Source organism: Homo sapiens, chromosome 1, assembly GCF_000001405.40.
Source record: "Homo sapiens chromosome 1, GRCh38.p14 Primary Assembly".
Taxonomy (NCBI): Eukaryota; Metazoa; Chordata; class Mammalia; order Primates; family Hominidae; genus Homo; species Homo sapiens.
The window spans coordinates 192798931-192821121 of NC_000001.11; the positions used below are offsets into that span (position 1 = coordinate 192798931).

The 22191-nt window shown below is 37.6% G+C and overlaps 1 protein-coding gene and 1 pseudogene across 1 annotated transcript, besides 4 other annotated features; both read left to right on the top strand.

Moving 5' to 3' along the window:
* Positions 1642–2243, top strand: LOC100130137 (integrin subunit beta 1 binding protein 1 pseudogene; annotated as a pseudogene).
* Positions 8560–8649: a silencer, noted in NCBI's record as "silent region_1652". NCBI's record gives its function as "represses an Ori minimal core promoter by ATAC-STARR-seq in GM12878 lymphoblastoid cells {active_cell/tissue: GM12878}" and the evidence as "EXISTENCE:reporter gene assay evidence [ECO:0000049][PMID:35858748]".
* Positions 9586–9795: a silencer, noted in NCBI's record as "silent region_1653". NCBI's record gives its function as "represses an Ori minimal core promoter by ATAC-STARR-seq in GM12878 lymphoblastoid cells {active_cell/tissue: GM12878}" and the evidence as "EXISTENCE:reporter gene assay evidence [ECO:0000049][PMID:35858748]".
* RGS2 (regulator of G protein signaling 2) lies at positions 10109–13345 on the top strand. Its single transcript, NM_002923.4, has 5 exons — positions 10109–10251; positions 11236–11337; positions 11440–11501; positions 12051–12217; positions 12472–13345. Exons 1-5 carry the CDS (start codon positions 10142–10144, stop codon positions 12664–12666), a joined length of 636 nt encoding a protein of 211 aa, NP_002914.1. The 5' UTR covers positions 10109–10141; the 3' UTR covers positions 12667–13345.
* Positions 10126–10345: an enhancer, noted in NCBI's record as "active region_2264". NCBI's record gives its function as "activates an Ori minimal core promoter by ATAC-STARR-seq in GM12878 lymphoblastoid cells {active_cell/tissue: GM12878}" and the evidence as "EXISTENCE:reporter gene assay evidence [ECO:0000049][PMID:35858748]".
* Positions 11303–11362: a silencer, noted in NCBI's record as "silent region_1654". NCBI's record gives its function as "represses an Ori minimal core promoter by ATAC-STARR-seq in GM12878 lymphoblastoid cells {active_cell/tissue: GM12878}" and the evidence as "EXISTENCE:reporter gene assay evidence [ECO:0000049][PMID:35858748]".

The following is a 22191-nucleotide window of genomic DNA, read 5'->3' on the forward strand; positions in this document are numbered from 1 at the left end:
TCCCACGTTCAAACAATTCTCCTGCCTCAGCCTCCCAAGTAACTGGGTCTACAGGTGCATGCCACTATACCCGGCTAATTTTTTATTTTTAGTAGAGATGGGGTTTGACCATGTTGGCCAGGCTGGTCTTGAACTCTTGACCTCAGATGATCCGCCTGCCTTGTCCTCCCAAAGTGCTGGGATTACAGGCATGAGCCACTGCTCCCGGCCATTTCTTCCTTTGTTTTTAAAGGCATAATTGGTGAAGTAAGTTGAAATCCTTTGTAGGGTCCTCCATAATCTTTTCCCCACTTGTGTTCTGCCCTCTCTGTGAATAGTCAAGGCCAGCCAGACATGAAGAGGCTCTGAGAATAAGAAGTTTTTGGTGCTCTGTGGCTAAAATGATCCAGGGCCACAAAAAGAAAAGTTTATTTAAGAGAAAGAGAAGCCAGGTGCAGGGGTGCAAACCTCCTCCTAGTTACTCAGGAAGCTGAGGTGGGAGGATTGTTTGAGCCCAGTTTGAGGTTGTAGTATGCTATGATGGTACTTGGGAATAGCCATTGCACTCCAGCCTGGGCAACATAGCAAGACCCTGTCCCTAAAAAAAAAAAAAAAAAAAAAAAATAGAAGGAGAAGAATTAGCCAGTAATTTACTGTATTTATTCTTTCTCTCTCACCTCCACTGAAATCTACCAGGCACTGATTTGGTTCCAGGCAGAATACTCTCTGGTGCTCTATGATGGTCCACGAGACCTGACAAACTGAAGTGCCTCACAACAGCCTAGGGGATCACAGAGGGTCTGTTCATAGCCATGATGCTCAGTGTTGCAGTGGTTCTAGGGGACACTGTGCCCACCAGTGGCAGCCCTGCCAGAGGACTTTCAACCAGATCCTGATACCCATGGATTGCTGTGGAAGATGGTGTTACTTATAGTCATGGTCAGATTTTTAATAATTAAAGGCCTATCTTATGCAAGTAAAGACAAAGAACTAGCCACTGATATTTCTGTTCTTCTAGAGAAAATACTTTCAAATTTTTTACACATTTAACCTTATTCAAAAATAACATGAAGGCCTTGAATTAACTTTAATGGAATCCATGCTCAAAAACAAACTATCGGAAATGGAAAAACTGGAAGGCATTAAAAAAGAGCTGAAAATCTCCAACTCTTTGCTTGGACTTAGAATACATTCTTTTAGAAAAGGACTTAGCAAAGAGTGACCTGAACATTTAGAACAAGTTGAACCTGACATTACAAGAAATATCCAGAAGATTTATCAAGCAAAATAATAGACAATGCATTAAAGACACATTGAATTTCAAGTAGCTACAAGCAAACAGCCTTCAAAATATATCAGAAGACTGAAGAACAACTTCAGACAGCACTGAGGAGATGCTTCAGATGAAAATTCCTATATTATGAGAAGTATAAAACTGTCTTCACAAGAAACTAAGGAGGTTTGGAGTGCTCTGACTCTAACAGCAGCATAGGCGGCCCTCTGCCTATGCTTGGCGTTGATGTACATTGTTTCCATAAAAAGAACTGACTGCGTTAGAATGAAAGGAAGCTATCTGTGCAGACCTGTCTTTAGAACCTTTGAAGATAATAAAATAATATTTGATTCTATGGTGATATTCTCTAGATGAAGCTATGGTGAAAAATGTTTTGGAAAGGAAAAAAAAAAAAAAACAGACACCGTAGTAGCAGTTCCCAAAGTGGTGAAATCAGTACTAAGAGCAAGTCTGTAGATTCTAGCCTTGGGGGCCTTTCATAGTCCAGCCCTGCGGCCAGCCTCAATACAGATTCCACCAAGAGCTCAGAATAAAGCAACAATAATTCAAATACGTGTGCAGAATTTCAAATAAAATATGTTGGTGCCATTAAGACACTGAAACTCTCTGAGAGAAGATGTCTTAAAGGGCCACTAGACCTGATAAATTATATAGATGTTGCCCAGCAAGATGAAAAGTTGCCTCTTGTTCCTCTGGAGGAAAAATTTATAATGGGAGTTTCCAAATATAATACAAGTATCAACATCAGATCAGTATGATATTTTGTATAGGCATGTTCTATATTTAATCATCTGGATGGTGTGTTATGATGATGGTCTGGGGTGGAAAAACACTTATTGGCTCTGAAGAACACAGATGCAAGCAGTGATGAATACAGCCTGTGAGTTCATCAGTGCAACCAGCTGGAACAAACATAAGCAATTTGAAAAGTTCTATCTGCCACTTTCTATCTGTATTAACATCTGAGAAATGTTGAATCCTGCAAACCAAGTGAAAGTCAATTTATCTGAAAGTTCAGCTGTGTTCAAAACAGTTTTTTTAATATGCAATGTTGTACTATTATGGAAATATGAAGTGATCCCTTTTCTGGATTTTCTTAAGAAAATGCAATAAATAAAATATTGATCATTTGTTTTTAAAATAAGATGTTTTGTATTAAACAGTGGGAAAAAAAGAAGCTAAAGAGTGGATAGAAAGATGAGCAAACTTAGTAATCAGGAAAATAAAGTTTAAAAAAAGTAGTGCATATGGAATAAGTTTTAAATGATAAAGTCAGATCCACCATTTGCTAAAGATGACAGATCAGCCTGCTGTTGATGAAGAAGAAAACACGAACAGTGGAATCCTGAAATTAGATATAATGGATGCATCAGAGTATGGGTACTTGTAAAAATAAATCCAAAAGAATTCTGAAAAAATATGACTAATGTTGTGTAGTTAAATACAGCTCATCTAGGCTGGGCTAGGCCAAGTGGCTATCCTGGCTTCAGCTGGGCTTGTTTTCAAATTTATTTTAGAAACTCTTAACCAGATGTTCACTGTAAATTAACTGAAGGAGATAAAATAGTTGACGCACTGAAAAATTATAAGTCTCCAAGTAAGAAATCTTCACTACAATCAGAAATGGGGGGAAATGCAGTCAGAGAGGGAGAGACAAAAGCTCCAGTGGCAACTTTAAGTCCTTCCTACAGTGCACTGAGAAAAGAAATGTTTTCACCAAATATCTAACGTGGAGATAATTCACTCTGTAAAGATAGTGAAGAAGCCTACTAAAAAAGATTAAAAGATTAACACGTAAAGAGCTGTACATTTCCAAAACATTTTTGAGGAAGAACATAAATATTTGGGAAAGTAACTTCATTCAGAAAAATAACTCAAAATGGATCACCAGCCTAAATGTAAAATGCAAAACTATAAATTCCTAGAAGAGAATCGCCAAGGAGAAAATCTAGATGACCTTGGATATGAAAATGAATATCACATCAAGATCCAGTCCATGAAAGAAAGAATTGATAAACTGGACTTCATTAAAATTTTTTTTAAAAAATCTCTGTTCTGCAAAAGACAACATCAGTGTAGTGGAAAGAAAAGCCACAGATTGGGAGAAGATACTTGCAAAGGGGGTATCTGATTCTAAAAAACCTGTAATCCAAAATATACAAAGAATTCTTAAAACTCAACAATAAGAAAACAAACAATCCAACTAAAAATACCAGACATCTCACCCAAGATAATACATATGGCAAATAAGCATGTGAAAAGATACTCTACATCATATGTCATTAGAGAAATGCAAAATGAAACAACAATGAGATACCAATACACACCTGTTAAAATGGCCAAAATCCAGAACACTGACTACAGCAAATGCCAAAAAGGATATGCAACAACAGGAATTCCCATTTGTTGCTGGTGGGAATGCAACATGGTACAGTCACTTTGGAAGTGGTTGGTGGTTTCTCATGAAACTAATCATACTCTTAGCTTATGATTGAGCAATTATGCCCTTTAATCTCTGCCCAAAGGAGTTGAAAACTTGTGCCCACACAAAAACCTGCACATGAATGTTTATACCAGCATTATTCATATTTGTCAAAACTTGGAAGCAACCAAGATGTCCTTCAGTAGGTGAGTGGATAAACTGTGGTACATCCAGACAATGGAATATTATTCAGCACTAAAAAGAAATGAGCTATTAAGCCCTGAAAAGACATGGAGGAAACATAAATGCATATTACTAAATGAAAGAAGCCAATCTGAAAAGGCTACATATTGTATGATTCCAACTATAACACTCTGGAAAAGGCAAAACTATGGAGACAGAAAACAGAAAATTGGTGGTTGCTAGGGGTTATAGGGTTATTGGGGAGGGAGGGAGGAATGGGCAGAGCACAGAGAATTTTTAGGGCAGAGTGAAAATACTATGATGTTATAATGGTGGATACATGCCATTATAAATTTGTCTAAACCCACAGAATGTACAACACCAAGAACAAACCCTAATGTCAACTATGGACTCTGGGTGGTAATGATGTGTCAATATAAGTTTATGAGCTGTTGGATATTAGTAATGGGGAGGTTATGTATGTATGGGAGCAGAAGACATATGCGCTACCTCTGTACCTTCCTCTCAAATGTGCTGTAATCTGCTCTACAAAAATACTCTTTAAATTAAAAAGTAACCTTACATTGCTGATGTGCCCAGAGGAGCATTTGGAAGGGCCTGAGAGGACCACCAGGAAACTTCATAAACAAACAGATCCCCCAAAAAGAATGAGGGTCCTGCATAGGAGCAAGACAGAAAAATGGACAAAAGAGTCACCTAGAAGAAACTAGTCATACTACAAAGTTTAGCTCAAGGCCAGTCCTGAGAACTATGTACTATCATCTACCAAGCTGTCCAGGACATTTCCAGTATTGTTTTCTTTTAAATTCCTACAAAGGAAGAGTGCTATAACTACTTGTGCCTGAAAGATAAGTAGCTTAAGCATAAGAAAGCTAAACAATATGCCTGAGTTCTAAGTAAATTAGGGCAGAAACTAGGAACAAAAAGCAAATATCCCAATTATGGACAACCCCTCTAGCCATCCCACTCTCCTAAGGGTACTTCATGAAAAGAACTGCAAAATTATTCTGTCTTTTGAAACTGGGAACTTTTGAGGGGACTAGTGCCACATAGTAATTGTGTCAAGGCCTACAGACATCTCTTAAAAGCATTATTTTTTTTAATTAATTCTGTTGAGATTTTGGAATTTTTGTTTCAAAAATGTGTTTGGGAGAGAAATCCACAAGGTTTTAGGTTATTAGGAAGTAGTCCACGAATAAAAACCTGTGAAAACCAATGTCTAAAATGGATTAATGCTCTCTACACAGGAATAGTCATCAGTATAGTGAAAAAGAAATACTAATGTAAACGGATTCCTTATTTACTAGATGAAAAATGGCTTTCTTCAGACTTTTAAAAAAGACTTTGTGACTATTATCATATAGATATTTAAAATTTTATATTTTGTTAACTTAATATACCCAAATTTCAAAAAAGTAGTCAATAGGACACTTGACACTCCAATGGTTTGGCAAAATTCCAGGGACAGAAATTAAAATCTCAGTCAAAAAAAACACCAAAAAAGAAATTCCTAGCTTTAACTCATAGACAATATGCCAACTATGTAACCTATTTTATAAGAAAGTATTTATATCACCTATTCTCCCCTGGTATTCCATGCACAAAAAGAGTGTAGCAGCAGGAACACACAACAATTCCCTTACTCAGACCTCATACTTACAGTCCTTTACCTTACAGACCTAATAGCTACAACATTCTATCCAAGGTATTTCAATATACATTAGTATTTTTTTAGGAAAAAAAAAAAAAACTTCATGATGCTCCTGTTGTTGCTTTATGAAGGGCATCTAGATGTTTTTGTAAAGAGGGGGCTATTAAATTTAAGCAGGACCTGCCTGCATTGGAAGAATCACATACTCCATATCATATACTTGGCATATACTTGGTACAAATTTAAGACAGAACCATGGAATTACACTAACTGGAATTATCAATACAAGGATTGGTAAAATTATTAACTTAGCTATAATACATGTCAAGTATTAGGTTTAACCTGTGATTCATTTCTGACCAAAACACTCATTTTCTCTCAGCTTCTGGGTATGAAAATTACATTCTCAAAAATTAATCATAATTTTTAAATCTCAGATCATATCAGGGGTTAAGGAGTATAGTACAAAATCTCATGAGGTCATATTTTCATTCTGTTAAAAGAATATTTCACCAACTAAATAGGACAAAAAAATTTTTTAAAGACAGGCATTATACTTCTTTAAATATATTCAACAACTAGGGTAATAAAAGTTTTCATTTTTTCCAATTACTCATCACCATATAGCATGTAACTTCCTGATTTTTTCCTTTTTTTTTTTTAACTAACCCACCTATTTAACATTTCATAAGGTAAACGATAGGTTTACAGCTCTTAGAAATTTGGAAACTAAAATATCTTACTAACTGAAAAAAGCAAAGCACAGAATAATACATAGAATGATACTTTTGTGTTTTTAAAAGCAAGTATCTTGGTTCCTAAATTTCCTATTTTTATTTATTTATTTCTTTATTTTTAATTTATTTTTTTTTTTTAAGAGGCAGGGTCTCCCTCTGTCACCCAGGCTAGAGGGCCGTGGCACCATCATGGCTCACTGTAGCCTCAAAGTCCCTGGGCTCAAGCAATCCTCCCACTTCAACTGACTGAGTAGACGGGGCTACAGGTGCATGCCACCATGCGTAGGTAATTTTTTTTTAATATATTTTTGTACAGACGGGGTCTAGCTATGCTGCCAAAGCTGGTCTTGAACTCCTGGGCCCAAGCAAGCCTCCTTCCTTGGCCTTCCAAACTGCTGTGATTACAAGCGTGAGCCACAGCATCCAATGGCTTTCACATTTCTAAAGCTTAAGTAGGTGAGTTATTTTATATAAATATTTTTAGTTAATAGGAATAGGAATTAATAACTTTTATTAATAATGGTTAGCATAGAGTGGGAGCAGAAGGGAGAAGTATGACAGGGGAAATTTTTACTCTTCATAATTTAAGACACGCAAGATATATAATACAAGAATCTCAGATACATTATGCAAGAAACTTGTATTTTTTCTTTGCCTTCTTCTATAAACTTTTAAAAAAATATAGAAAGTTCATAAATTATCTGGAAAACCTCCACCACTAATCTGTTCAATCAATCTCTCCAGTAGAGGGCATGGTAGGTTCAACACAGAAAATGTATGGTTAGGTTATCAGCCACTCTCAAACTGAGGTTTTGTTGTGCAACTTTTACAACCCACTGCATTGTTTCTTCCTCTACCACAGGATGGAAAATATGTGTCATCTTTATGTGGAGCAATTCTGTTTACCTAAAAGCCAGTTGCAACAACAAAAAGGGAAGTCATCAAAGATTCCAGCTTTTGTTTTACCTATATATACGTAAATATATGTAATGCATATGTAAATATACATGTAATACATATTACATATATGCGTGAAATATATGATGTATATATTCATGTCACATATATTACATGTATATGTAAATATACATATATTGGCCTGTCTTTTAAAAGACATTAACATGGCAAGTTTTTGAGGAAAAGGTTTCTATAGCAGGTACTGCCTTAACTCTTAAAATTACATATAGATACAAAAATTACAAGTTGATTTATATCCAGATTTATTAACCAACCACATAATTTTCAGAGAAAAATTAATTTTCTGCCACCTAACATCAGTCACTGATCTGGAAGGGTTTATGAAAAAAGCAAAGAATTATATTAAACACAAAAACATCAAGAATAATCTATATTTAAACCAGTTGCTTATGCAGGTACATGTATATTCACTTTCATTAATATATTGAGATGATTAAACTTCCTTGGCTTGGAGATATCTGAAAAGTGTAATTAATTATTATTATTATTTTAAGAGACAGGGTCTCACTCTATCACTCAGGTTGGAGTGCAATGGCACAATCATAGCTCACTGTAACTTGAATGCTTGAACCTCGAACTTCTGAGCTCAAGCCTTCCACCTGCCTCAGCCTCCCAAAGTGCTGGGATTTCCAGCATGAACCACAATACCCAGCCTGAAAAGTTTAAATGTTAATCAGTTTCCTTATTTTTCCTACGTATTATCCAGTGAGCATTTATTAAATATCTATAATGAGCTTAATCTTCTACAAATTTGTGTATCTTGTGTATTTGTGTACCTACAAATTGAAACATCTTGATATTTAATAGTACCTACATATTTATAACCTAATTACGTCTGAGTTAATCCTCGTACGATTTTTTCCATCTTGAACAGCTATGATTTGAACATTTCCTTTTGCCACACATATGCAAATCAGTAATAAACTTCCGTACAGTACTTTAGAGCTTAGAAAAGACCTTTCATGTAAGAGTCACATAATATCCTATGAGGCTGGCAAGAAAATACATGTTACTCTTATTACAGATGAGAAACTGGGACTCAAAGAGGTGTGAAGCTAGTGTCCCAACAGTTACTTAGCATTTACTGGATAAGCCCAGGCTCTAACTGGGTCTCCTGACAGAAGTCCAGCTCTCTCTCTCTGCTGCCTCTTTGTCAGAACTCCTGGCCTGCCAGCGAATTTAACTGTCTATGAGTAAATTCTAACATCTAAGGTTCTAAGTATAAAATATATTGAGGTTTACAGTGGTGAGAAAAAGCAAGTGTCTGCGTATTACAGACAGCTGATAAATACGTATTGAGTCATCAGAAAGTGAAAATAGATGTAGGACTATTATGCAAAGCATAGGAGAGGAAGAGCATATGCTTAAGAAAAAATGGCATTCCTAGAGTTAACAAGCATGTTTCAAAGTATCTATTACTGAAATCTACACGATTTTCCTTTCCACAATAAAGTCCACAACTGTTGTCTTAAATAATAACTGCAGGTTTTGCCCTCCAAGTCAAACTTGGAGCTCCAACTACTGGCAGCTCACCGTAAGAATATATTAATTATTTCCAATTTCCTTTTAAGAAGTCGAATACAAAGTAGAGAGAATATCTGCAGCTTGGTTGCAAAGCCGCTTAAACATTTCACTGGCTAGTTCTGGTAATATTATCCGAAATCAACTCATTTTGTGGTTGAGGTAATCTATTTGTCTTTACCAATCAAGTCGTTTTAAAACCTTCAGGAGTAGAGATGATACTTGAAGAATTAACAAATAAAACTTAATCAAGGAAACTGTTAACTCATTCTCCCCCCTACTTTTTGCCAGTTATTAAATGTTCTGGTAAATCCTAACTCAACAAGAATGACTCATGAGGAAATCCTGACTCCTTGAACTCACTGATTCTGGTGCATTACAGCTATGAAATCTCTATGTCTGCAGCTTTCTCTCCCACCATAAGGAAATCTGTGATTTCTATTTTGGCAGGAGATGTGACCAAGGACTCCTGAGGAATGACCCTATAGACAGACCCAGCCACGTGCCTAGTAGTGATCAAAAATGCAAACCCAATTAAAGCACTGTCTTCTGATAAAGTCACTTTCTCTTGTTCAATCCCTAATGTTCATTCTCAAAGTGTTCCAAGACGCCCCAGCAAGCTGCAGAGCAGATCCCACCCTGCCCCTGGGCAATCAACGTTTCAGGTTACTCCTTCCTTAAGTTAAGTGGCAGAGAGAAACGGGCGAGGGTCTCCCCATTGCCTCAGTTCACAGACCAGGGGGTGTCGAATGAGTCCTACAGCAGGACAGCAAACAAGAAATGAGGCGCGGGGTCAGGGAACGCGCTCAAAAAAGGAAGAAAAATCCCACTCTTCATTCGAAATCAGGCCACTGCACTCCGGCCTCGTGGCGGGCGACCTCCTCCTGCCAGGGAATCGCCGCTCTGGCCTCGGGCTGGGGAGCCCGTCAGGGTGGGTGAGGGAGCGCCGGCGCCCCCGCCGGGCCGCCGCCAACTTCGGCTCCCTCCCTCCGTCGCAAAGCCCTCGAGCCCGCCCGGCCGCCACGCTTCAGCAAAAGGTCGTGCGCAGCGGCCCACACTGAAGACTCTCCATCTGCTCCCACACCTGCCCCAGCTGGCCGCTGCTATGTGGCCCGAGTGCGCAAGAAGCCGGGGCCGCAGACGTCAGCAGCGCCCCGGCTTCGAGACCCTTCGGCAGCAGCCGTGACTGCCGCCGGCGGGCGCTGACCCATCCCCGTGCCAGTCTGCAGCCGACCAATCCGCGTCCTCTTGAGGCGGGGCCGGAGCCGCGAGGCCCCGCCCCCAAGCCGAGGCCTCATAAATGCTGCGACGCACGCCCAGCCGCAAACAGCCGGGGCTCCAGCGGGAGAACGATAATGCAAAGTGCTATGTTCTTGGCTGTTCAACACGACTGCAGACCCATGGACAAGAGCGCAGGCAGTGGCCACAAGAGCGAGGAGAAGCGAGAAAAGATGAAACGGACCCTGTGAGTATGGCTTTCTTCCCTCTCCCGCCACCCCCTGCCCCACACTGCAAGCTGCAAACGCGGTACTTTCGGGCTCGCCTTTGACGTTAGGAAACTAGCCTGAGCCTATGCAGGGAAAAAAAATCGAAAAGGTCAATTTGTTAAGTAAGGTTAAATCTGGGTGATGCTCGGGTACAGTTTAAGAACCGAGGGAGACAGTTGATATGAGGGCGGTGGTTGATGCGCTAAGAAATTGCGGGTTGGCTTTTTGTCCTCCTGCATTCAAAATGACATCAGAATCCTGCGGCTGAAGCGCGTCCCCAGCATTCATACGTTGCATGATGAGTTCTCATCAGCTTACACAGCTACTGGAAGGTGATGCTCTTGCTGGTTCTGAATATACTCGTTTAAAATCCATTTTTGTTTTTTAATTATAGAGCAGATCTCACCCAGTCCGAATGTGGAACAAATAATTGTTATGCAGCGTCTGCTTAAAAGAAGTGTCGTAGGTGGGGAAGGAAGAGCGCAGGGGAATCAGTCACCCACCTCTTTGTACAGTCTCTGGCGTGGTCCAGAACCTCCTGCTCTAAAGAGAGAAGCGTGGGCCGGCTCCAGACAGTTCCATGTCTGTCCTTTTCATTAAAGTGCAAAACGTCTCGGAATTGTAATTAACCTTGCAAACAAACTGATGCCCTTTGTGAGCCAGAAATAGTGTCTGCCTTTTGAACTAAATTCATTAACAATTCTTTAAAATACCCTAGTGATTATAGGTAGCCCTGCCCTTAGTTGTAAAACTAGTAGATACGGTCAGATTAATGGACGAAACTGCTCAGTACATGAGGTTTAAATGTTAGGTGGATAAGACTTATTTGAAGAGTTCTTGCTTTGCCTTATGCGGTTTGTCTCTAGTTACTGGGTGACTTTATTTGGTAAAAATGCGTTCAGCTGCAGTAGCATATTCAAGTGTTGCTAGTTAGTAATTATCTTTTTAATTTTTTGTTTTAGTTTAAAAGATTGGAAGACCCGTTTGAGCTACTTCTTACAAAATTCCTCTACTCCTGGGAAGCCCAAAACCGGCAAAAAAAGCAAACAGCAAGCTTTCATCAAGTAAGTTGAGAATCCTGTGCTTGCAAATATCAATAGTTAGCTGCTGAACTGAAAAGGGGAACTCTGATGTGCGTAAGCTAACATACAGAACCTCTCTTGCAGGCCTTCTCCTGAGGAAGCACAGCTGTGGTCAGAAGCATTTGACGAGCTGCTAGCCAGCAAATGTAAGTTAACTCTTGAGCTTGAGCCATTGCTAACATCGCAAAAGCCTGGAAAGGCTGCGTCCACCTAACAAAAGAGCAGCTTGCCTGAGGGGGATTAGACTGCAGTCACTATAGGATAAAGCCTGTTTTTCTTTCCTTTATTTCCCAGGGTTTAACAAATAAATGCATATATTCTCTCCAGGTGGGGAAGAAAATCAGCCTAAACAAATTAAAGTGGCAGTTGCTTATAGTTAAGGTTGAGTCAGTTTTTCCATTGCATACAATGTTTTCAAGAGGCTTAGTTCCCAGAGAATTTATGGCTCCCCTATAAATATTTACTTTGCATTGACAGCAAAGTACTTATATTTTTGCAGCAGAGTGCCAACATAAGCCTTTTGCCTACTGGTATCTTAGTCTTTAAAAAGCTAAATTTTGAGAATTACAGGTTTGAGCGAAATCTAGAAAATTCATTTAGAAATAATTAAAATGTGAGGGATAGGAGAAACATAAGGAATCATTTGGTCTCTCAGTTCTTCACATTCTGCATGCTCTCTTTTCTCCCCCCTTCAGATGGTCTTGCTGCATTCAGGGCTTTTTTAAAGTCGGAATTCTGTGAAGAAAATATTGAATTCTGGCTGGCCTGTGAAGACTTCAAAAAAACCAAATCACCCCAAAAGCTGTCCTCAAAAGCAAGGAAAATATATACTGACTTCATAGAAAAGGAAGCTCCAAAAGAGGTAAGGAAACAAGTTCCTAATTTCAGCACAATCTGGACATCTTTAGCACAAAAGTGAAACAAAGTAATCAAGGACAAAGCGGGCTAGGAGGGGTAAAAAGTCCCTCCACGTTGTAGCTTTCAGTTATGTTAAAGTTCTCCTGTGACTTAGCTAGTAAAGCTAATCACACATAATTTTTATTTTTTGTTTTCAAATACTAAATTTTAATCTTTAACTCTGAATACCAAATAAACAACTTTTTTGTTTTATTTCAGATAAACATAGATTTTCAAACCAAAACTCTGATTGCCCAGAATATACAAGAAGCTACAAGTGGCTGCTTTACAACTGCCCAGAAAAGGGTATACAGCTTGATGGAGAACAACTCTTATCCTCGTTTCTTGGAGTCAGAATTCTACCAGGACTTGTGTAAAAAGCCACAAATCACCACAGAGCCTCATGCTACATGAAATGTAAAAGGGAGCCCAGAAATGGAGGACATTTCATTCTTTTTCCTGAGGGGAAGGACTGTGACCTGCCATAAAGACTGACCTTGAATTCAGCCTGGGTGTTCAGGAAACATCACTCAGAACTATTGATTCAAAGTTGGGTAGTGAATCAGGAAGCCAGTAACTGACTAGGAGAAGCTGGTATCAGAACAGCTTCCCTCACTGTGTACAGAACGCAAGAAGGGAATAGGTGGTCTGAACGTGGTGTCTCACTCTGAAAAGCAGGAATGTAAGATGATGAAAGAGACAATGTAATACTGTTGGTCCAAAAGCATTTAAAATCAATAGATCTGGGATTATGTGGCCTTAGGTAGCTGGTTGTACATCTTTCCCTAAATCGATCCATGTTACCACATAGTAGTTTTAGTTTAGGATTCAGTAACAGTGAAGTGTTTACTATGTGCAACGGTATTGAAGTTCTTATGACCACAGATCATCAGTACTGTTGTCTCATGTAATGCTAAAACTGAAATGGTCCGTGTTTGCATTGTTAAAAATGATGTGTGAAATAGAATGAGTGCTATGGTGTTGAAAACTGCAGTGTCCGTTATGAGTGCCAAAAATCTGTCTTGAAGGCAGCTACACTTTGAAGTGGTCTTTGAATACTTTTAATAAATTTATTTTGATAAATAATATTGAACACTTGGAGTCTAGATGTGATTTTATTTTTGATAACTGGAAATGTGGCAGATAAAGGGAAAACATCTTTATAGTAAAAGACATTTCAGTTTTTGTGCCTGCCCAGTGAGAATTGACAGTCTTCAGAACTGAGAAATGATAGTTGCAGACAGATAATTCTTTTTTTAAAACCTATAAGCATTATGCAGACCTAAGGAAGTCACATCCTTAGAACCACTGCATTTATGCTTTCTAATCTTAAAAAAAAATCAAGCTTGTTAATGAAACACTGATCTAAAGGATTCTGTATCTAAGTACCAGCTAAATATGAGAAGTAAATGTAATGGAGACAAGCACAAAAATTATTCACATAATTAAGCTTCTCAAATGAAGAAAGAAGCCAAATAAGGTCAATGTATGCCTGTCTTTATTTACTTTCCATTGGTTCCAAGCTCCCCCACAAGTACCAGCATGGGCTTCCAAGATACATACCTGAAATTGTTCCCTTCCATAATGTATCAATAGAAAATCTCAGAATTTTCCTGATTTTCATGCCTTCATTTGGCCAACAAAGAATCTGTTACTTTAGGTAATGATAAAGTCAAAAGAAGTGCGCTTTCGTTTCTTAGACTTAAATCCAGAAATGTGCTTTTTTCCACTTGAGAGAGGAAGCCCTTGAATCTGTTTTCAAACTGGCTAATTAAAAAGCACCCCTTCCTCAGCAGGCTGTTTTTTTCAATGTCCTTGATTATGGTCTTAATAAAAAAGGAGGAGGAACCCTGATTTTAGAGTTGGAAGAACTGACGCAAAGTAATCATTTCTCATAGCTTTGTGACCTTGGGTGTCCCCATTGTCTTCTCTGACTCTTCATTTTAGACCTTCCTGCCTTTCTGGTTTTATAAAGTAGTAAGGGACTTTAGAAATCATAAAGCACTAAGAACATTTTTTTTCTGATTTGCCAGAAGAAAAATTGACCTCCAGTAGTTTACTGTTTCCATTGTGATTGCACTAATTTTCACCTTAGCCAGAGTTTCTGGCACCAACAGACACAAGCTCTATTAGAGAGACTGCCTTGTCTACTGTATCACAGCAGCCAGAATAATACATAATAGGTGCTCCATAAATATTGATTGAATAAATGAATCCAAAGAGTCATTGAAACAAATATTTCTTTGGAGAATAAATGTGTCAGGTCTAGCATAATCCTTAATTTGGAAAGATTTTGACCAACAGAGGAACTCAGGAGTCATGCCATATATCATCCTATTTGTCACCAAGTCATTTATTTTACTTCAAACCTCTCTACAGCCTACTCTCTGTTACCACTCTGATCAAAGACACCACCATCTGATGCCTAGATTACTGCAATAGTCTCATCTCCTCTCACCCACTCTTCCCCCTCTCCCACACCAATGTGTTCCTGCCTTTTAACTCTAGGGATCCCTTCAAGACAAATCTGATCTTGTCTCCAGTTGCTTATAAACACCTTGACAGGTTTTGCAAACAATTAGGATAAAGACAGTATCTCTAATATGGCCTAACACCTGCATGGCTTGACCCCTCCTTTTGTTCCAACCTTGACTCTACCACATTTCTCCCAGCTCTTTCTGCTAAGCCACACTGTCCTACTTTCCTAGCAGGTGCCATGCCCACTGGCCTCACAGGACCTTAGCACCTAATAGTTCCTCTGCATGGAATTCAGTTTTAGCTCTTACTCATGCACATATCAATGCAATTGCCACTTCCTTAGGGAAGCTTCCCTGACCTCCTTACCTCGGTCAGATCCCCTTTTAGATGGTCTTATAGCACCAGGTTCTCTAATTTAGAGCACTTAATGGAGTTGTAAGTTCTCATTAATTTGTCTGATTATTTAATAATTCTATATCTTCCTCCACCAAATTGTAGGAACCACAATTTGAGGACCCTTGGCCTTTTTCCGCTCACCACTGAATCCCAACACCTAGCATAGTGCCTGCTGTACAATGGGAGCTGCATAAATAGTTGTTGAATGAATGGATGAGTATTAAAAGATCTTGCAAACAAATTTTGATGAAACAAGGATCTACCAATGCACAAGCAATTAAGGACAAGACTTTTTTTAAACCCCACTGGCTCAAATGTCTGAAAATATCTGTAGAACTTTTTTCTTTGGCAAAAATAAGTAACTACCTCTTAGTTGGCAAAGTCTCTATAACTTTTGACCTTTAATAAAAGAAGAGGCCAGATTATACTAACAAAAAACAGAAGTTTTTATTTTCAGGGCTGCTAAAAGCACAGACTATATTCAGGTAGTATTTTCCAATGTTCTGTAGTGTGGAACAAACTGAAATAGATTTAAGATTAGAAACCACATTCACCCACAAATAAATATTACTTAATGTTCCAGTTTCCCAGAGTTCACACACTTAGGATCCACAGTCCACTCATTTTGATATTTCATTGTTCATATATTTTCAGCCCAATGATATTTTAAAATATATTAATTTCATATGATCTTACTAAAAAAAATAGAAACTTATATGTTATCTGTCATGTGAGCACAGGGAGACAATAAATGAGTTTCAATAAAATTACCTATAGTGGTCACCCAAAATGTCATAGGAAGCAGATCTTTAGTAGATGTGTTTGTGTTGTGTTGTTGTTTAACCACAGTATTTGATCATGTATGGTAGTGATTCTCACCTTGTGGGGTTGGACAGTGAAGGGAAACAGTGATTGTGCATTTCTCTGTGTCTTGAGAGGTGTTATGCAAGGGAGTGCATTGTGTATTTGGACAGTATAGAGACTAGGAAGTGTCTGCCTGTGTCAGCCACTAGACTGTTTCTTTGTTTTCCTATGTTAGCTCAAAATTGCAGCTAAAGGACTTAACCTGACTTTACAGAGAACATCACCACTATTGAATGTAAGTGTTAACATGTATACACGTTCCCTGGGTCTGACTTTGATGCTTTTTGACAACTTTAGGAAGCCATTTTGGCCAATGGCAATAAGCACAAGTGTTTTATCTAATTTCTGACATCTTAGCTAAAGAGCAGCTTGGGGCTGCTTGAGGTAATGATAACACCTCAAAAGAGCTTCTCCTGTGGCCTAAAGGATAGAAAAAGGAATCACCAGGTGATAGCCTTAAATACTAGTGGTTGGGATATTATTCTGCAGGAATGTGACACCAATCTCAAGTAAAATTTATGGAAATGACTTGGGTATCAATATAAGGCTCGATTGGAGACAGGGCGATGAGTTAGCAGGCTGCAATAATAGCTCACATGAGAACCAGCCATGTGTCTGAACCAGGACAGTGTCACCAAATAATTCAGTGTAACTTAATAGTAAATTATACATCACCTACTCCATGCAGAACACTGATCTAAACTACATAGGGAATAAATATAAAGACCCATGAGACACATTCCCTATCCTCCAAGAAGTACCAATTAAGTAGCTGATGAAATAAATATACCAAATTAAAACAGAGTGTGAGCTATGATTGCTGATTAATTATGAAAATAAAAGTGCAGATACCTTTAGCTGGAATAAATCAAGAAACACAGTGAAGTGGCATTTTTGTTGGTATTTAATAAATGTGTTGAATTTCAGAGAGATAAAGGAGAGATTATTCAAGGTGGAGAAACAGTCTAAATCGAAGGAAAGGGGAAAAGTAGGATTACCTGTTGCATTGTGCTGTGATATTTTTGTAGGCAGATATTTTTAATGGGGATGTATATTTGAAAACTAGTCCATTGATTCGTTTTTTAACAAATATTAAAAGTAAATATATAGATAAATACTTATGAAGGACTTCTCTGGGCAAGACATGTCTATAAGAGTAGAAGACTAGAACCTCAAAATGCAACTAAAAGCTGCACTTAATTTTTCTTAAAAGTTGATTTTCATAAGATCATCATCACAGTTATTAAGCTTTATCAAATCTTTCTTCATGATTTCCCAGGCATCTTTCCCTTCCCTTACTACAGCCAAGTGCTTATTCACCGTGGTCATCCTCCTCTCACCTATCTCAATAGGCCTCAGATCCTGTATTCTGCTTCTCATCCCTTCCCTAGAATGCCATTTGAACGCTAACTTTCTCACACTACTCTTATGCTCAGAAAAGTACATAAATTCCCTGGTATCTCCCAAATCAAGGGAAATTCCTATGCCTAAGGCAAAAAAATTTCTACCATTTTTGTAAAATTTTGGCCCATCCAATCTTATTTCCCACTGTTGACATGAGACATTTGATACTGGTTTTTCTTATTGCCTCTGAGATATATTATTCTCCTACTATTAAATCAAAAATTTCCCTTTGCCCAAAACCCTCTCTCTCTTCCCTTAAGTTATACTCATTTTTTAAGGCTCAAAGTTTCACCTCCATAAAATATTTCCATGGGTGCATCAGTCGTATCTCCAATTAAGTGGTCACTAACCGGACCATTCCGACTTACTCCATTTTCAAAGTAACTAATAAAGTTCCATATTATTGATACTCGTTGCTCATTGATGATCTTATTAACTTACTGGTTGGTTGATTGACTCACAAACTCTTCAGTAAAAATCCATGCAGTGATATAAATGATTTCGTTTAAATATGCTAAACTGACTTGTAAAAAATAACAGTTTTTTCAGAAGTCTACATATTTTAATCTTGGCTCTACGTTTTTGCCTTGCAAATTTATAGTAAAACTGAACTATGTGGATCTTGGATGAGATCCTAATGTTAGATTTTCTCAAATCCCAAATTAATCTGATATTTGTATGGTTTTAAAAGTGCACTGACCTATAAGGAAGCTTCCTTTAGGAGTGATTCTGTGTGTTTATTAAGCTGGTGTATATCTTAGACATGTACAGACGTCACACCAAAATCAAAATAATGAAAAAGAAAAGTGGGCCAAAAGGAAGAGTGAGAAGAAACTATTTCCCTGCTGTCTATTTGGAGTGAAGAGGGAGTTGATTTTTTTTTTAATGCGTTTGCAACTTCCAGTCTTATAGGACTATTACCACCTCCAACCCAAATTACTCTCCCAGTCTTTAGCTTCAGAATGCAACCACAGGTAATCTACGAGTGCGTTTGAAACTGCACTGTTGAAAGAACTAAGAAAAGTATGCGGTTTACATGAGCTGTGGTATAGTCTGACAAAGACCAGATATAAAACTTTTGTTTGAAAAGCAGGTGGTACTTAGTAGATCTTTCCCTGCTTGCCGGGAAGCTTACAGTATTAAATCTCCACTTGGCACAAACCAACATATTCTCACATAGGGTAATTTTCTTGCAAAAGTGGCCACTGAGCATTGTGACATAAATGTCAGGACTTAAAGTTCTACTTCTTTCTAATTTCTTCTACTTCTGTTTTTCAGATGCCAGAGTTTGACAACTCCTATAACACTCTATAAAAGTTCTAGTAATATGATTAACATTTTAAGAGCAACGAATAATGCAACTATTTCAGAAATAATTGTAGTCATCACACATTTTCAGAAAAACCAGTTACCACTGAAAATGTTAATACTAATGAAGTGCTTCTGAACTTTGAGAGATTAGTTAGCCATAGAATGTAAAAAATAACTCAGAAAGAATATTGACCACAAAAGCAGTAAAGTAGTACTATACAATAAAAAATAAAGTAATATTTTATAATATTATGATATATTATATTATATATCATCATATATTATGATTAATAATTTATATATCATTTATATATCATCATATATGTGTTATGATGTATATTATAATAATACAATATAAGACTATATGCAGTCCAGTAGGGTGGCTCATGCCTGTAATCCCAGCACTTTGGGAGGCCAAGGTGGGTGGATCACCTGAGGTCAGGAAGTCGAGATCAGCCTGGCCAACATGGTGAAACCTCATCTCTACTAAAAATACAAAACAATTAGCCAGGCATGGTGGCACACGCCTGTGATTCCAGCTACTTGGGAGGTTGAGGCAGGAGAATGGCTTGAACCCAGGAGGCGGAGGTTGCAGTGAGCTGAGATGGCGCCACTGCACTCCAGCCTGGAGGACAGCGTGAGACACTGTCTCAAAAAAAAAAAAAATATATATATATATATATATATATGCCACATATGTAATGTCAAATATTATAATGAAATTTAAATAATTTAAAAGAAATAGGTGAAATTGATTTGAATAATATATTTTATGTAACCCATTATATTTATAATATTATCATTTCAACATGTAATCAATATGATAAATTATGAAAGAGATAGTTTAATTATTTTATTTGGTCTTCAAATTCTGGTGCATATTTTACACTTGCAGCCCATGCAGATCCATGTCAGACACATTTCATACTAAACAAGTTTTAGGCAAGGCAGTCCCCAGTCCTATATCTTTGATTTGATAAGCCCTCAATTATGATTGATATGATTTAAAAACCTAAGGTAGACCTCATGTTGGCATATTATTTTTGTGTTCTAACTACTTAAAATATAATACACATTTCTTTTTTGACTTGTGCAAAGGCAAACTGTTAACCACTTCCTCACTCAAAATGCATTCTAAAAAGTAAATATTCAAGATGGTACTGAATAAAAATATCTTAGGAGTAAGAGTTAAGTATTTTCTCACAGAAAGTTCCATTTTAGAAACAGTATAACTTAGTTTAGTTCTGCCTATTTGTCCTCCAATGATTATCTGTTCTTTCCCCCTACCACTCTGCTACCATTATCTAGGCCTTCTTTGTATCATACCACTATTACTTCATAGTCTTTTCCCTGTTCTCTTGGAATTAGAGTTTCCTCTGTCCAATTCACCCTGCATATGGAGCAAGACTATTTTTCATAAACACCAATTTTACCATATATTGTTTTCCATTCAAAAAGTTTTATTGCCTTCCTATTTCCAAAGTAGCATGCAAAGAGTACCAGATTAAAAGCCAACAGAATGAGATGCTGGTCATAATGCCATTAACTTTCTAGCTAACTTGGGAATCATCACCTCTTAGGACCTCAGCTATTTCACTGTAAGGGAGTTGATTGCATTACTAACGTCTCTTCCAGCTCTAAAATCTTGCTTGGCTTTGGATTATTTTCTGCATTCTATCCCTACCCTGACAATTTTAATTTTTTTTTCCTCAAACAATCTAACATAAAATTACCGCTTTATTCCATCTGCTTTCCTTCCTATTCCCATTAACAAAACTCCTATCATTTCACTCATATTGACTTTCTGTCTGGATAGGCCCCTACTCCATTTATTCTACCCATAACCTAATATTCCCCAAGACCCATCTCAGCTTTCCATGACACAAATTTCATTAATCTCTGCATCCAATCTTGCATTCAACAAATACTTGCTGAGTGCCTACTCTGTGCAAAGCACTGGGACACCATGCCAAATAAAAAAGAGAGGTTGCCTGCACCCGTGGAACTTATGTTCTGCTGGGGTCAATAGATAATGACCAAATGAGCAAATAAACAAATAAGATAATTCTAGAGTATGGCAAACGCTGATGAAGGAAATAAGCTATGCAGTGAGATAGGGAAGACACTGGCTGGTCTAGAAAGGCACATGTTTACCTGTGCAGAGGGTTGTCAAAGGTTGCGTGAGTTTGTGTTCACTGACTGATAAATTAAAGTAAAGCCTTCTTCTGCTTTGCAATAATAAATATTCTTTGAATGGAACAGACATAAAAGTTGTTTTAGCTAAACCATAATTTTCTATTAATTCCAAAATAATTTTATGTATAAAAAGAATAATCTTTTCAGCAACTCATTACACCCAGCATTATTAAAGCCCTAAAATATAAATAATCCTTGAGGAGGTATCTCTCAAATCACCAGGCCTACCAGGTCTACCCAAATATTTTGCTAATGTTATTATAATATACCAGGTTAATGTTTCTAGATAACCTTTATCCTTCTAATTGTTTTTTTAAACAGCGTATTTCCTTAGGTGCCATCTAACATTCTTCTCTTTGGTGCCCTGTCATGTCGCTGATGTCTTCATCCACTCTATCCTTCCAGCTAAAAACCTGCCACTATATAGGGACTTTTTCGAAAGCTGTAAACCTCGGCCATTCAAACTTACTGAGTTACTAAACTCCAGAGGTTCCCCTGAGAATTCCCCTCCATTAAATTAATGTGAAGGCAGTCTACCTATGGGGAGTCCATCACCATCTCTTATCTGGATTCTTTTTTTTTTCTTTAAATAGAAATTACTCTTTTTGAATTACCTGGATTCTTGACTACAACTTTTGCCTGAAACCTCTCCTGCCTCCAAACACCTGAGTCCATTTCATCCCACCAGAAGACTGGAGTGGAAAGAACGTGGAGCTGAAAGGCTGTCAAGACTTCTACTGTCATCTTGATTCCACCAGTTGAATTAGTTGCTCAGCCTTTGATACAATACTGAGCTTCTATCAGGACTGTTTTCTTACTTGTTAATTGAGGACAGAACAGGTTGATTATCCCTTACCCAAAATGCTTAGGACCAGAAGTGTTTTAGATTTTTGTATTTCTTTGGATTTTCAAATATTTGCATATGCATAATGAAATATATTGGGGAGGGGACACAAGTAAAACACGAAATTCATTTATGTTTCATATACACCTTATACTTATAGCCTAACTGTAACTGTATGCAATATTTTAATAAGTTTGCTCATAAAACAAAGTTTGTGTACATGCCATCAGAAAGCAAAGGTTTCACTAACTCAGCCACCCCTGTGGACAATCCATGGTTGTCTGGCATCACTATCATTCCTGACTCTGAATTTATCTGCTAGCAATAAGTAATCATTTTCTAATATTTATTCACACATCACTATGTAATAGTATAAAATATGACATATCATTATTAATGATGCACTCTAGGGAACTAAGTGAAAAATAATGAAAAAATAATGAACT

Excerpts from the sequence above, each read along its gene's own strand:
- RGS2 (NM_002923.4), top strand. The coding sequence starts at position 10,142 with ATGCAAAGTGCTATGTTCTTGGCTGTTCAACACGACTGCAGACCCATG. Across the intron at positions 11,338-11,439 it reads AAACAGCAAGCTTTCATCAA|GCCTTCTCCTGAGGAAGCAC; the intron begins GTAAGTTGAGAA and ends CCTCTCTTGCAG. Across the intron at positions 11,502-12,050 it reads CGAGCTGCTAGCCAGCAAAT|ATGGTCTTGCTGCATTCAGG; the intron begins GTAAGTTAACTC and ends TCCCCCCTTCAG.